General features: G+C 39.2%; 1 protein-coding gene across 8 annotated transcripts in view, besides 1 other annotated feature; it reads left to right on the top strand.

The window, feature by feature from the left end:
• KIF6 (kinesin family member 6) overlaps positions 1-16,842 on the top strand; it is a 395,419-nt gene that overhangs the window by 172,945 nt on the left and 205,632 nt on the right. For 7 of the 8 annotated variants that reach the window (XR_001743238.2, NM_001289020.3, NM_145027.6 and 4 more), the window contains exons 11-13: positions 6,776-6,881; positions 7,771-7,909; positions 12,243-12,461. Coding sequence is in view for 7 of the 8 variants with exons in the window: in NM_001289020.3 (NP_001275949.1) it covers positions 6,776-6,881; positions 7,771-7,909; positions 12,243-12,461 (464 nt within the window). In the remaining variant the exon portion in view is untranslated. Of the gene's footprint in view, positions 1-6,775; positions 6,882-7,770; positions 7,961-12,242; positions 12,462-16,842 lie in introns of all 8 variants that reach the window. The other variant, NM_001289021.3, reaches the window with a different exon arrangement.
• Positions 11,792-11,969: a silencer, noted in NCBI's record as "fragment chr6:39508271-39508448 (GRCh37/hg19 assembly coordinates)". NCBI's record gives its function as "represses an EF-1alpha promoter that drives an FKBP-Casp9 reporter gene in an ReSE screen in K562 erythroleukemia cells {active_cell/tissue: K562}" and the evidence as "EXISTENCE:reporter gene assay evidence [ECO:0000049][PMID:32094911]".

The following is a 16,842-nucleotide window of genomic DNA, read 5'->3' as shown; positions in this document are numbered from 1 at the left end:
TTCTCTTAGCTTTCCTATTCCCATCTGTGAAAGAGTGATAATAATTTATAGACTTATGGAACAGATGAATAACAAAATATATGTGAAAGTGCCTGACATGTTTTAATGGATATTGAATGAAAGTAATAATAAAATAACTGGGACAAGGCGGGTATAAAGAGAACCAGACTATGATAGTCCCTAAAGGGCTCTTTTTCCACTTAAATAAGAAAACATGTGTAAAGTCACTAGCAGAGTGCTCAGGACATGGTTGACTATCAAGGGATGTTAGTTCCTCCTTCACAGAACATTTCCAGTTACATCTTTGTTTGGTGTTCCGAACTGAAAAGATGTGTATGTATTCTTGTGTCAACATTCAATAACCAGTTGCCTTGTTGCAATGCTTCTTAACATTAGTGTGTATGCAGATCACCTGGGAATGTTGTTAAATGTAGATTCTGACTCAGGAGGTCTGGGATGGAGCCGAAAATTCTATATTTTCAAAAGTCTCATAGCCGATTCCTATAAAGTTGGTCCAGTCGAATAGCAAAGCCTTAATAGGCCAGGCGTATTCTCTCTTCGTTCCTTGCATTATCTGATTTCGTAAAGCTAATAGTGTAAAGATGGTATTATTCTACACATTTTACAAATGAGAAAGTTTTAACCCACAGAGGGTTGATGAATGAAGATCATTCAACCAATCATTCTGCCATATTTCTTATGCTACCACAGTCAATTTTTTAAATTGTGTAACTATTCTCTCAATTCTTCCTAGTTATCATATTCCTTTAAGTTAATAATTATCAAGTTTCCTTTTATACTTTCTAAAGTTTTTTTAATTTTTAATATTATGGATATATATTAGTTGTACATATTTATAGGACATGTGATATTTTGATACAAACGTATAATGTGTAATAATCAAATCAGAGGAATTGGGATATCCATTGCCTCAAGCACTTATCATTTATTTGTGTTAGGAACATTCCAATTCCACTCTTTTAGTTATTTCGAAATATACAATAAATTATTGTTAACTATAGTCACCCCATTGTGCCACTGAATACTGGATCTTATTCCTTCTGACTATATTTTTGTACCCATTAACCATCCTCTCTTTATCCTCTCTCTCCCCACTACTCTTCCCAGCCTCTGAAAACTGTTATTCTATTCTTTATCTCCATGAGTTAATTTTTTATTTAGTTCCCACGTGTGAGTGACAACATGTGATATTTGTCTTTCTGTGCTTGGCTTATTTCACTTAACATAATATCCTCCATTTCTAAATATGTTGTTGCAAATGACAGGATTTCAGTATGGAGTTTCCTCCAAAAACTAAAACTAGAACTGCTGTACAATCCAGCAATCCGACTACTGGGTATATATCCAAAAGAAAGGAAATCAGTATATGGAAGAGATATCCGCACTCCCATATTTATTGCAGCACTATTCACAACAGCCAAGATATGAAATCAACCTGTGTCCATCAACAGATGAATAGATAAAGAAAATGTGGTGTGTGTACACAATGGAGTATTATTCAGCCATAGAAAATAATCCTTTACATCCTTTTATATCTTTGTCACTATCTCCCATTCTTTTCCCGATCTTTGCTCAGGTAATATGTAGCTTTAGTTTGTCAGTATCCCCATGTTTAACCCTGTCAGAGACAACTCACCCTCAATGGAGACATCTTTAAGTGGCAAAATGATTTAGAGCAGTGAGGCAGATTTTGATATGTATTTGGTATAATTAATACAAGTTAGTTTTATAAATCAGAACTCCTTTCTAGCTCTCTGGAATGAGCTGTCAAATCGTCTCCCCAAACCAGTGAGGAGACAGTTGAGCTAAGAACCATCAGCTCTGGAATACCAATTTCCATGGTTCTACCACAGGGAAGCTCTGCCCCACCAACTGGGGTATTTTTCATCCCCCTCACTATTTCCAGCTTGATATTAGAGGATGCAGTCCCATTGCTTTGCATCCCCCGAGCCTTGTTTATAGTAAATTCTCTAGAATAATACTGTGCTGCTGCATGCTTCTGCTATCTCTGCCCCAGTTACAGCACCAGGCTCCCCTCCCACTCCTGGGGCACACCTCCCATTGCTGTCCCAGTTATTTGGAAACAGCCAGCATTTCCATGCCCTGGGTTAGGTTTGCTCTTGTTTCTAATATCCCACTCTTCTGTTCTCCCAACTTTCCCACAGCCAGTGCCATAGAGATATGGTTTCTAGCCAATTTCTAGAACCCACTGCTGACACGAACATGTTCATATTTTTTTACAAAGATTATTTGAGAATAATGAGAACATCTTAATCACACTCAATGTATAAATGATGAATTTTTTAAAACAGTTAAACATAACATAATCATAAAAATATTGAAGAAGAGTGAGGTTAGCTTGGGTCGCTGGTCTCTTTTTTCAACAAAAGATGATGAATGTTCTTGAGCCAAAGACAACTAGCTGGCCAAAAATTTCGGGACTGCTGATCTGCTCCCCTCCCTCCCTCTCTCCCTTCCCTCATGCCTTTCCTTCCTTTTTGTCTCTTCAGTCTTCTTATGTGTGTTACAGTGTACTTGCAGAATCCCTGCAGAGGGATTCATCATTAAGCTATCCATATATAGTATGAGTGTTTTTAATGTCAATAAGTACAACACTTTGCCGTCACTTAAATTGCTGCTTAACTATGTACATAGCTATGCCATAATTAATTTAAGTAATCTTCAAATACAGCACATTCTGATTCCTTCCCAACTTTTTTTGCCGTTACAAGTCATGGGGGTCCGTGGCCTTGCTAAGATCTAAGCAACTGCTTTTCAGTTATTTCCCACTTCTTCGTCCACCTATTTGCCTCCTCAATGAATGCTTGCAGGTGTGGGTTCTCCCTTTTAGAAATACATCACCCAATATGGTATTCAAATACTTTGAGTAACTTTGTTATAGTATGGTAAGTATTGTGCTTCAAAACTTGGATTTTACCTGTGTGCTTGCTGTGTGAGCTTGGACAAGATACGTAATATCTCTGTGCTTCAGTTTCCTCACCTATGACATGGGGATAATAATAGCACTTTTCTCATGGGTTGTTGTAAAAATTAAGGAAATGATATATGCAAATAGCACAGAAGAGTGTCCAGCATTTAGTGCATGCTCAATGTTGGCTGTCATTAATGATGAGAAGCTTGCTTTGTCTTTTTATTCATGCTATTAAACCTAAATTTTTAGGGACATATGGCTACAGAGAGAGCTTTTTTTTTTTGTACAAGGAATATAAGGAGCAGAGAGGGGAGTGCAGTGGCCTCAAGAAGGTAAAGCACATGTTAGGAAATATGGTCAGTTCTAATTATGTGGCCATATATCAAAATTTCTAATATGATGGAGTTGCTGAACCAGGACACAGGCTGTCAGAGGTATTTCATTAGCAGTCAATTTGGCTGAGATCTGTATAGTCACCAGACATCAAACCATCACCTACCATCAGCGAAGTCATGTGTTCAGACACACTAAATTATTACAATATTTCTTGTTACTGAATGGTGTGTATTTCTTTTCTCTTTCCCCTAGGATTCTTTTTTCTTCCTTCTTTTCTTCTAGTGTAAGTAGAGAATAAGGAAAGCTCTTGTTGACTTGGGCTTGTCCTAAAAAATAGACTTTATTGTACTCACTTGACCTCCTTAGCGAGACTTTTCTGCAAACAGTTTTCCACTGTTCAGCAGAGTTCTGGCAGCTGGGAGACCCCTTAGAGGGAGCAGGGACTAGGTATAAACTTGGACACTATTTTGGTAGATAGGAAAATGTGGGGAATTTGGGTTCATTTGTTCACTCTCAACTACTAGAGGAGTACAACGAAAACATCTGAATTAAGCATTTTTCTGCATTTTAATTATTAGACCAAGTCCTTGCCTGATAAGGAAATAAACCCAACAGTAAATCAAATGTATGAAGGAAAGACCAGGCATGTTTCTTTGTGTTCTCAAGTGCTGAAAGCAAAATAGCATGTCAAAAGGCTGATCTTCATTCTTAGTTATGTACTAGACTAATCAAGTCCCAGAAAGAGTAAAGCGATCAGTTCTTTTACTCAGGCAGAAGTTCTTGCCCATTTCTTTGGATCATGTCCCTGGTCCTCCTTGTATTCTACAGTGTTGCTGTGTGGGAGAGGAGCCTTGATGGAATACCAAAGCCCAGTGCACGTGAGCAATCTGTGAGTGGTCCAGCTCATCAGCAGGCTTGTATCTTACGAGGTTTCCTTCTGAGCTAGGAGTCCACTTCAGCCTTCCTTCAGAGAACGTTTCCTAGAATATGTACTTGTGATTAAACTATTCAAAAGTTGTTTTCTAAAGAAAAAGCAAGAAGAAAGAATTGATTAACCATTACTTCCAACTTAATATTGTCTGCTAGAAATTTTATGGACTCTGGAAATCACAAAGTGCTTTCACTCCAGAAAACGAGTGTATATTCTAGAACCCACAGTGATTTTTGAAATTTCAAAATTTCTGCTATGTATTCAGGGAAAATACAAGTAGCTAAACATTACTATTTTTTAAACCTCATTAAGTCAGGTTTGTAGATCAAGGTCTCATCATGGGTTACAGAGGAAAGTAGCAACTGTATGAGTATGTCACCTCAGTGTCCATCAAGAGAGGAATAGTAGTACATCCATAGTATGGAATATTATATAGCCATTAGAAATGAAATACCTTTACTGTGTATGCACTGATGGAAAAGCTCATCTGCCATAAATGCTTTAGAAATATAATGATGTAAAGCATTATTCAGACTATGATCTCATTTTTGTAAAAACAACAAACCAAAATGTATAAATGAATATATAAATATAGGTATCTGCTTCATTAAGAATAAGAATAATATATTTTAACTGTTAACAGTGGATTTCCCAAGGTATCAAATTTTTTTAAAAAAAGGTGGAGGGGAATGGTGGCAGGGGAGTGGGAGGAGTTTTCACTTTTTAATATATTCACATCTGCATTGTTTGGAATTTTGTTCATAAACATGTGTTTTCATAATAATTTACATGATTTTTTAAAAAATGTATCAGGAATAAATCCCTCTGTATATCTGATGGTTTGAAGCTCTAATCCAAAAGGAAACACACTGTCAATCAGCAAATAGTGCAAATAAGTATCTCTTCACCTAAAGAAACTCCTTAAAAGTAACGGTATAAATTGTCTCACACTTGTAAATATATAGCTGTCACATGTCACAAATTACAAGAGGTACAAATGAAATCCAAGGCTGTTCTATGATAGAAATCATTACATTTTATCTGGGTGGGCTGATAGTAACAGCAGAAGAGAAATGTGTAGATACAGTTTTAAAAGATGCTGAAAGTATGCAAATATTTTCATAATAGTACTAGAAAGATATGCTGCTGCTGTATTATGATACATAACATCATAGATACTGATTGTCATCCTTAAACCTTCCTTATTAAGAGTTCCATCTCAACCTAGAGGGGAACCATGTCCATGGCAGTGAATCCAGTAACTAGTGAACATATTTGTGTTGAGAACCTAATGTTAGGGGGACGGGAAGAACAAAGATAAATAAGAGCCAAGAATTTCCCTCTGATACAAAGTACTAGAATGCTACATTGGCACGTGGTGCTATGAATAAACTAGGACTTTTTTTTTTTTTTTTTTTGAGACAGGGTCTTGTTCTTTTGCCCAGGCTGGAGTGCAGTGGCACAATCTCAACCCACTGCAACCTCTGCCTCCTGGGTTCAAGTGATTCTCCTGCCTCAGCCTCCTAAGTAGATAGGATTACAGGCACATGCCAATTTGCCTGGCTAGTTTTTGTGTTTTTAGAAGAGAAGGGGTTTCACTCTGTTGGTCAGGCTGGTCTTGAACTCCTGACCTCAAGTGATCCGCCCACCTGGGCCTCCCAAAGTGCTGGGATTACAAGTGTGAGCCACTGTACCCGGCCAAACTAGGACTTTAGAATAGAGTGGTTGGATGGTCCCTCCAAAGGGAGGTGTTTTGTTTTCTATTTCATTTTGTTTTAGGATAGGAAAAACAACATGATTGTAAGCAAAGAGGAAGGAGTCAGTATAGAGAGGAGATAAAGAGATGATTAAGGGAAAAGAGGTAATTAACTAGATAAGCCCTGGAAGAAGCAGAGAGAGAGCCCAGGGGAGAAACTGGCCTTCAGAAAGAGGAAGAATATCCACAATCTATAAAAGCAGGAAGAGGGCCTGAGCAGTGAGGCAGAGACACTCTGAGGCAAAGGAGGAGGAAACAAAGGAGTCTGCATGGCTTTCACCAATAAAGAAGTGACTTTATTGACAGAGAGTGAAAGAGTAGTGGCAGGCTTGGGGGCTGTAGAAAGATTTGGAATAGGCACTGTGAAGAATAGAAGATCACCTGGAATGATTAAAAAAATAGTGGGGTATCACTGAGGTGCCAGCTGAAGCGGAGTCACATGCATTTTTAGTGAAATTAATTTAAAATACATTCTCATTACTTTTTCTAGCAATGCAGCAGCCAGGCACAGGGGCATAGAAATTCAGAGTGGCTAGAATGGATGGACCATAGAAATCAAATGATTTCTATATTGAAAGCTTCATAAGAAAATTCACTGGAAATTAGTCAAATAATGGCTTCACTATAAATTTCACTTTGTCAATGTTTCTTTTCCCTTAATTTTTATACTCAAATCTGTACTTCTGTAAAGAGGTGGGAACAATATTCTGTACTTCAAATGTTAACCAACTAGATAATGCCATTAGAATTTTTAAAGCTTCTAGCTCACAGTTGCTTCTCATACATTATGTATTTTTAGGCTGGAAAAACTAATAACATCCTTTTTGGAAGACCAGGATTCAGACAGTAGATTAGAGGTTGGCGCGGATATGCGTAAAGTTCATCACTGTTTTCATCATTTAAAGGTAAACTTAAATGTTTCCCCAATAGAAGCCATTTTCAGCCATGTTCAAGCTGCAAAAAAACTTTTCTAGTTGACCAGTTCTTGGAAGGTTAGGATCCAGCATTGCATGTCCAGAAAATGGTACGATCTTTGAATCAATAGTATGATTATCACTGAGTTTCTTCAGAGATTGTATCTTACTTGCCAATAAATAAACTCAGGCCATGGACTTCTAATTCTTTTGTCAGGAATCTCTACCTTCTACACAGAATAGTTCCATATTTTTTAAAAAACTATTTTCAAGCTATATCAAGAGAATTGCATTCTGTATTTTTTCAGCAGTTTGATATACCCATATGATATTTCAGTTTTTCTCTGCCTTAGGTTTTAATTTTCATGACAAGGGGCTGGGAATATAATCACTTTTACTTTTAGCTCACTTGTATTTTTGCATACTTCTTTAAGATAATAAACATTTGTTGTGAGTTACTAAGGGCCAGGTATAGATAAGACAAAGTTTAATAAGCAAGTCATGGAGATGACAGATGTTGTAAAGAATAATCACAATACATGATAAGTACTAGAATAAAAGTGTAAATTAAGTGGAATGATGTATAGAGAAAGGGAAAGGAGTCCAAGAAGAGATAATGTTGAGTAGGCATTTCCCAATTTAGGGAAGGAGAGATAAGATGGGGAGAGAGGGTTGAGGAAGGAGGAGGGGAAAGAAGGCAGGTAGAAGGGAGAAAACATGCCAAGCCAAAAAAGCAACTGCATCGCAAAGACATCGCACCTGCATCAGACAGGTCACACATGCCTGATGTGTGCAGGGAATTGTTAAAGGAAAAAGAGTCAAAGAAACAAAGAAATTTGGACTAGAGATATGGGTACTAAGCTCTTATTTTATCTTACAGAAACTATTGAATGACAAGAAGATCCTTGAAAACAATACAGTCTCCTCTGAAAGCAAAGACCAAGATTGTCAAGAACCATTAAAAGAAGAAGAATATAGAAAGCTACGAGATATTCTGAAACAGAGAGATAACGAAATCAGTATCCTTTCTGAAGTGATGAAGAAACTTCCTCTATCCTGGTTTGAAAGGGGTAAACAGCAGTCTTTCCTGAGCCACATGGCTGAGCTCCCCACCCAGCTTCCATTTCACATTGCTTCTTTCCATTGAGAAGTCAAAGGTCCCTTCAGCAAAGTATTGCAACCAGTGAAAAAGAGTTTCTATAAAAGAAAAAAATGTGTTTGTTTTTATCCTGACATAGTTACTCTTGCAGGGAACATTTTAGTTTATTTCAAAGTATGAGCCTTTTTACACCATCTTTTAACATTAATTTTTTAAAATATATTTTTTGGCTCCTCTGTTGTGTTCTCTTTGTGTTAGCCCTGAGCCAGTAAGTTAGCTGGTTATCTTTAGCAAGCTGACCAGACAACAGGCTGACCACAGACTCACCATGGCCCAGAATCTGTGGCTGGTGCGTGGGTGAAACTCAAATGATGGCTGAAAAATGACAAATGGTATTTAGCTTATGAAGAGCAGAGATTGATTTAAATGTAACTTTTTATTTAAAAGCCAGATCTACTGCTTTGAGTTACACTTACAAATGTTCCCAAATTTGGAAGTGAGTATAGATGAGTGTTCAAGATAGAATTCTTTTTTTTAGCTAAACTGATCAGTACCAAATAAGATAGAATTCTTATTGGCTCCAAGAGGCAGTGTATTTTGGGTGCTGAAAGTGGTAGTAGCCCATGGGAGCATGTGCTGCCTCCAGTTGCAGACGAAGTGGTTACTTCTATGGAGCCCCTGTGGGGTTGGGTGGAACTCAGGCCTCCCAGATATTTCTTTGGTATTGTTTCTCATTTTATCTTTCAAGCTTCTTGTAAAAAGATTTGACATTTTCATTACGTTTGCAGAATTTAAACATGCACAAGAAATCCTTTCGGTCAGTTCTTTATAAACAGATATTTTTGTTCTTTTTTTAAATTACCAAAAGATGCTTTAGCTTCAGCTATTTATGCAAAATGCATGAAAATAGTCTACATAAAGGAAACCCAGTAATAAAGAGGTAAGAACAAACCAAATGGGAGGTAGACATGTTGCCTGATTAACTTTGGTCTCTAATTTTACTTGAGTATCAGCAGATCCTGTGTGTCAGATTCAAGTGAGTTTTAGCTGGCCAGGGAACAGTAGGTTCAGCTGAGAATCCCCCCCCACCCACACACACACACACAAGCCTTCATCCGTCAGTGCTGCCCATGGTGTTGTCACCCTCACATTCCTTTTCCTTCCTCTTACACCATCCATCTCCTGGCATGGTCTCGGCCTGGACCTCAGTCCTGGCCCCAGCCCCAGTCTGAGCTCTGTTTCTTTTCCTGGCCTTGATCCTAGTCTAGGATCTTCTCCTTTAAATACTCCTACCAACTTCTTAATCCCCTTCTGGGCTTATGAATGTCTGTGCATATAGGAGGGATGAAATGAGATATGACAGAGAGAGAACAGTCCAAGTTTGTTCCTATATGTTTATTTTTAAAAGAGAGTGAAAGAGAGATATCCATCACCTCCCCTCCTTCACTGTGGTGAATCCAGGCATCACCATTCATGTGGGGTTACCCTAGATTCTTTACTAACTGTCAGCAATTCAAACAGGGCTCCCTCCATCTGACACTCTTATTCAAAATGATGGTGTATGGGAGTCAGAGTGGAAAGAATACTGCACTTCAATTCATACCTGGATTGAAATCCTAGCTCTTCATTTATTAGCTCTGTACCTACTCAGTGACATTGCTTTCTACTCTTCAGGAGCAGGACCATAAGACCTGCTGAGAAAAGCCCATAAGTGCTTTGAGCACTGCGGAGTGTGATGTAATTGGAGTTATGACTATGAAGACAATAAGCAATCTCAGAAGAAGGAAGAATAGCAGCTAAGATTTAATCCTCTCAAAGCTGTGCTTATCAAAGACCAACGACTAAGAAAACCTCCTGAAATCTCACAGTTATTCAGAGTCAGGTTGGAGGATGTTTTCATATCTTTCTTTGTAGAACCCAGAAGGCTAAGACTGTGACACAACAAATGGGAAAGATATGGCTTCCAGGAAATAAAAAAAGTGATTATAATTGAGTTTCACAAAAGACAGTAATGCACCCAAATGACTGCGAACGACATCAGATCTTCTTGGAAAGAGACTGAAAATGATGTCCTGTTGGTGACATCCTCAGCTTGAATAAAGTTCACACACCCCTTCACAAAATATATGACAGGGGGATCCATGACCCAGCAAAGTGTTTAGCACAAAGGCCATTCCCATAAATGGGAATAGGGAGGACAAGAAGACAGGGGAAAGGTGAGAAGAAGGAAGGCAGCACAGAAGATAGATTCGTATTGCGATCTTTATGAAATGTACATCAGAACGCATCATTATTCTCATTAAAGTCTTCAAGGGGCTTCCCATGATATGAAGAATGAAACCAAACTCCTTGCTCTGGTTTACGAGGGCCTGGATGATCTTGCCCTGCCTACACCATCCCCTCCCCCACGGACCTCATTTCTCATGCCTCGTCCCACGTGTGCTAGGCTTCAGTCACAGTTACCTTCTTGTTGTTCTTCTAACACGAGGTTCCTCAGCCTTGGCACTATCAACATTTGTGGCTGGATAATTCTTCATCTCAGGAGCTGTCCTGTGCATTGTAGGAAGTGGGATCACAGGACTGTAGCATTGGGAGCCACTTCCGGGCCTGTTTCTCTTTAGGGAAACTTCCTGTTTCTCCTCTGCATTGATGTTCTTCCTCTGGCTGGTTCTTCTTATGGCTCAGATCTCAGCTTAAAGGTCACTCTTAGGCCTTTTGTAGCACCCAATGTATAGCAGCTGCCCAGTCACCCTTGACCTTCTTCAGATTAGGTATGTGGCATTCTGATGTTGTGTGTGTGTGCATGTGCATGCATGCATGTGTGAGACGTCTTTCCCCAGTAGGACGTCTGCTTCGTGAGAGCAAGAAACTACTCTGCCTTGTCATTGCTCTATACCGATGCCTAGAACAGGGCCTGGCATCTATAGCACAAGCTCCAACAAATATCACTGAATGAGTGAGTCGATGGAGTCGATGGATATTGCCATCACAGTGTGTGAACCAATGGAAGTGTATGATGACATTGGTAATCAGTTCCATACAAAGAGGAGCAGCGTGTTCGGCCAGAGCCCTGTTCTTCTCTGTCATGTTAATGCTTAGACACTAAGAAGCTGTGAACATTTTTGGTAAGTACATGTTGTTTTGGGGCAAGGAATGGAAGCCACATCAGAGAGAGCAAACCTGATTATGCTTCCAGAAATCACCAAGTGGGAGTTAAAGCTGAGGAGGAAGATGAAGGTCAAATGACTTCCACGCTGCTTGTCCAAGAATAAATATCATCTGGGTACCTGTCCGCCTTTCTAAGTAGCAGTGCTCTCTGTATCCCCTTCCTCTGAAAAGTTTACCCTTTAGGACACATACCACATTTAGACTCCCATTTTAATGAGCCTTCTCTAGCGATGCAAAGGCATTGAATTCATCTTACCCCATATGCAGTTAGAGCTCTGAGATTCTCAGTAGGGGTTACAGTCTTTCCATTTAGCAGATTGGACAAAAATCTCTTAGAGTTCTAGGCATCGTGAACACAGAATGAACACTGAAGTAGGGTAGAGGGGAGTGGTTTTATCCTTTATCATCAATGGTCCTGGCATATCTCAATGGCCTACAGAAGGTGCATTTTAAAATGATATGTCTGTGCTAACAATTCGCTTCTTTTCTGTTACATTTGAGACCAAACATTAGTGGCTTAAAAAGCCCCCATCTGAGTGAACTCTACATAAGCACGTGCTGAGCTTGGGGTGCTCTGGCTGAACCTTTGTCACCGCACCGGCCGCCAGGATGAAGACGGCTGATCTGCCAGCCGGGTGGGTTTCACCATCCTCCCGCTCTGCTCTGCTGCTGCCTCCCGAGCAGGCGCGTGCTCGCCCAGGGGGCTGATACATATACATGGGCTATGTGAGTAAATTCATCTTTTATCTGGGAAGATGTATACATAGCCTATTGTCTACTACTATTCAGCCTTCATTTGACTTTTTATAAGCACTTTCATAAGATTGTTAAGATGTACCTGGTTTAAACTCAGAACATTGTAAAGACCTTGCGTTTGCTAATTTTTCATACAGTGGTGCTATATAGAAAGCAAGCCTCCTAAATTGTCCATTGCTATATATGGGGCTTCAGGAAGTTGAAGCCTTCCTTCAGTCTTTACCACATGATAAATAGCAAATGTTAGGAACATTAATGACACTTAGGACATTTGTGTTTTGATTACTATAAGCTAGCATCAGGCATTAAATCCTTAAGTCAAGTTTCAGATATCCTGGTCAACATGTTAAAAAAAGAAAAGAAGAAAGCTCAGGAGGCTCTCCACTTGGCTGGCATGGATAGACGTGAATTCAGACAGTCCCAGAGCCCACCCTTCCGCCTAGGAAACCCAGAAGAAGGTCAAAGAATGCGACTATCCTCAGCTCCCTCACAGGCCCAGGACTTCAGCATTTTGGGGAAAAGATCCAGTTTGCTCCACAAGAAAATAGGTCAGTTGACTAAATTTCCAGTATTTCTCATTGTCTGTAATGGATTTCGATGTAGCACCCTTTAGTTTTACATGTATCAGGATGAAGGCTCAATTTCTTTGTTAGAATTATTTTTTATAACTATCAATTATCTTAAATTAAATACCACTTTCCCAAACTGATGACTGAACTGAGGGGAACCAACTATGAATTTTCTCAGAATTCAGCATTAGAATAGATGGGTTCAGGGTAACAGTAAAAAAGTTAATTTTAGAGAAAGGGAACAAATAAGATCAGATATTGCTGATATGATGACGAGGCAGCGTTTATTTATAAATCCAAATGAACTATCTGCAGGAAAACTATTTAAAAATATTACCAGGCCAGGCACGGTGGCTCACGCCTGGAATCCCAGCATTTTGGGAGGCCAAGGCAGGCAGATCACAAGGTCAGGAGTTCAAGACCAGCCTGGCCAATATGGTGAAACCCTATCTCTACTAAAAAGTGCAAAAATTAGCTGGGCGTGGTGGTGCGCGCCTGTAATCCCAGCTACTCAGGAGGCTGAGGCAGGAGAATCATTTGAACCCGAGAGGTGGAGGTTGCAGTGAGCCAAGATCAGGCCACTACACTCCTGCCTGGGTGACAGAGTGAGACTCTGTCTCAAAAATAATAAAATAATAATACCACAGACTTAAATGACAATAAATTAATAAAACTTTGTCACGTAATAGCATTTGGCAGGGTTGGGCCAACTCAGAGACACCTTTCCTGTTTCCAGCTTTTTTTTTTAATTTTATTTTATTATTATTATACTTTAAGTTTTCGGGTACATGTGCACAATATGCAGGTTAGTTACATATGTATACATGTGCCATGCTGGTGTGCTGCACCCATTAACTTGTCATTTAGCATTAGGTATATCTCCCAATGCTATCCCTCCCCCCTCCCCCCACCCCACAACAGTCCCCAGAGTGTGATGTTCCCCTTCCTGTGTCGATGTGTTCTCATTGTTCAATTCCCACCTATGAGTGAGAACATGCAGTGTTTGGTTTTTTGTCCTTGCGATAGTTTACTGAGAATGATGATTTCCAATTTCATCCATGTCCCTACAAAGGACATGAACTCATCATTTTTTATGGCTGCATAGTATTCCATAGTGTATATGTGCCACATTTTCTTAATCCAGTCTATCATTGTTGGACATTTGGGTTGGTTCCAAGTCTTTGCTATTGTGAATAGTGCCACAATAAACATATGTGTGCATGTGTCTTTATAGCAGCAAGATTTATAGTCCTTTGGGTATATACCCAATAATGGGATGGCTGGGTCAAATGGTATTTCTAGTTCTAGATCCCTGAGGAATGGCCACACTGACTTCCACAATGGTTGAACTAGTTTACAGTCCCACCAACAGTGTAAAAGTGTTCCTATTTCTCCACATCCTCTCCAGCACCTGTTGTTTCCTGACTTTTTAATGATGGCCATTCTAACTGTTGTAAGATGGTATCTCATTGTGGTTTTGATTTGCATTTCTCTGATGGCCAGTGATGATGGGCATTTTTTCATGTGTCTTTTGGCTGCATAAATGTCTTCTTTTGAGAAGTGTCTGTTCATATCCTTTGCCCACTTTCTGATGGGGTTGTTTGTTTTTTTCTTGTAAATTTGTTTGAGTTCATTGTAGATTCTGGATATTAGCCCTCTGTCAGATGAGTAGGTTGCGAAAATTTTCTCCCATGTTGTAGGTTGCCTGTTCACTCTGATGGTAGTTTCTTTTGCTGTGCAGAAGCTCTTTAGTTTAATTAGATCCCATTTGTCAATTTTGGCTTTTGTTCCATTGCTTTTGGTGTTTTAGACATGAAGTCCTTGCCCATGCCTGTGTCCTGAATGGTAATGCCTAGGTTTTCTTCTAGGGTTTTTATGGTTTTAGGTCTAACATTTAAGTCTTTAATCCATCTTGAATTAATTTTTGTATAAGGTGTAAGGAAGGAATTCAGTTTCAACTTTCTACATATAGCTAGCCAGTTTTCCCAGCACCATTTGTTAAATAGGGAATCCTTTCCCCATTGCTTATTTTTCTCAGGTTTGTCAAAGATCAAATAGTTGTAGGTATGCGGCATTATTTCTGAGGGCTCTGTTCTGTTCCATTGGTCTATATCTCTGTTTTGGTACCAGTACCATGCTGTTTTGGTTCCTGTAGCCCTGTAGTATAGTTTGAAGTCAGGTAGCGTGATGCCTCCAGCTTTGTTCTTTTGGCTTAGGACTGACTTGGTGATGCGGGCTCTTTTTTGGTTCCGTATGAACTTTAAAGTAGTTTTTTCCAATTCTGTGAAGAAAGTCATTGGTTGCTTGATGGGGATGGCATTGAATCTATAAATTACCTTGGGCAGTATGGCCATTTTCATGATATTGATTCTTCCTACCCATGAGCATGGAATGTTCTTCCATTTGTTTGTATCCTCTTTTATTTCATTGAGCAGTGGTTTGTAGTTCTCCTTGAAGAGGTCCTTCACATCCCTTGTAAGTTGGATTCCTAGGTATTTTATTCTCTTTGAAGCAATTGTGAATGGGAGTTCACTCATGATTTGGCTCTCTGTTTGTCTGTTGTTGGTGTATAGGAATGCTTGTGATTTTTGTACATTGATTTTGTATCCTAACACTTTGCTGAAGTTGCTTATCACCTTAAGGAGATTTTGGGCTGAGACAATGGGGTTTTCTAGATATACAATCATGTCATCTGCAAACAGGGACAATTTGACTTCCTCTTTTCCTAATTGAGTACCCTTTATTTCCTTCTCCTGCCTGAGTGCCCTGGCCAGAACTTCCAACACTATGTTGAATAGGAGTGGTGAGAGAGGGCATCCCTGTCTTGTGCCAGTTTTCAAAGGGAATGCTTCCAGTTTTTGCCCATTCAGTATGATATTGGCTATGGGTTTGTCATAGATAGCTCTTATTATTTTGAGATACGTCCCATCAATACCTAATTTATTGAGAGTTTTTAGCATGAAGCATTGTTGAATTTTGTCAAAGGCCTTTTCTGCATCTATTGAGATAATCATGTGGTTTTTGTCTTTGGTTCTGTTTATATGCTGGATTACATTTATTGATTTGCATATATTGAACCAGCCTTGCATCCCAGGGATGAAGCCCACTCGATCATGGTGGATAAGCTTTTTGATGTGCTGCTGGATTCGTTTTGCCAGTATTTTATTGAGGATTTTTGCATCAATGTTCATCAGGGATATTGGTCTAAAATTCTCTTTTTTGGTTGTGTCTCTGCCCGGCTTTGGTATCAGGATGATGCTGGCCTCATAAAATGAGTTAGGGAGGATTCCCTCTTTTTCTATTGATTGGAATAGTTTCAGAAGGAATGGTACCAGTTACTCCTTGTACCTCTGGTAGAATTCGGCTGTGAATCCATCTGGTCCTGGACTCTTTTTCGTTGGTAAGCTATTGATTATTGCCACAATTTCAGCTCCTGTTATTGGTCTATTCAGAGATTCAACTTCTTCCTGGTTTAGTCTTGGGAGAGTGTATGTGTCGAGGAATTTATCCATTTCTTCTAGATTTTCTAGTTTATTTGCATAGAGTTGTTTGTAGTATTCTCTGATGGTAGTTTGTATTTCTGTGGGATCAGTGGTGATATCCCCTTTATCATTTTTTATTGCATCTATTTGATTATTCTCTCTTTTTTTCTTTATTAGTCTTGCTAGCGTTCTATCAATTTTGTTGATCCTTTAAAAAAACCAGCTCCTGGATTCATTAATTTTTTGAAGGGTTTTTTTGTGTCTCTATTTCCTTCAGTTCTGCTCTGATTTTAGTTATTTCTTGCCTTCTGCTAGCTTTTGAATGTGTTTGCTCTTGCTTTTCTAGTTCTTTTAATTGTGATGTTAGGGTGTCAATTTTGGATCTTTCCTGCTTTCTCTTGTGGGCATTTAGTGCTATAAATTTCCCTCTACACACTGCTTTGAATGTGTCCCAGAGATTCTGGTATGTTGTGTCTTTGTTCCTGTTGGTTTCAAAGAACATCTTTATTTCTGCCTTCATTTCGTTATGTACCCAGTAGTCATTCAGGAGCAGATTGTTCAGTTTCCATGTAGTTGAGCGGTTTTGAGTGAGTTTGTTAATCCTGAGTTCTAGTTTGATTGCACTGTGGTCTGAGAGACAGTTTGTTATAATTTCTGTTCTTTTACATTTGCTGAGGAGAGCTTTACTTCCAACTATGTGGTCAATTTTGGAATAGGTGTGGTGTGGTGCTGAAAAAAATGTATATTCTGTTGATTTTGGGTGGAGAGTTCTGTAGATGTCTATTAGGTCCACTTGGTGCAGAGCTGAGTTCAATTCCTGGGTATCCTTGTTAACTTTCTGTCTTGTTGATCTGTCTAATGTTGACAGTGGGGTGTTA

Source organism: Homo sapiens, chromosome 6, assembly GCF_000001405.40.
Source record: "Homo sapiens chromosome 6, GRCh38.p14 Primary Assembly".
Classification (NCBI taxonomy): Eukaryota; Metazoa; Chordata; class Mammalia; order Primates; family Hominidae; genus Homo; species Homo sapiens.
Note: the sequence above shows the minus strand (reverse complement) of the source record. Positions and strands in the feature narration are given on the sequence as shown.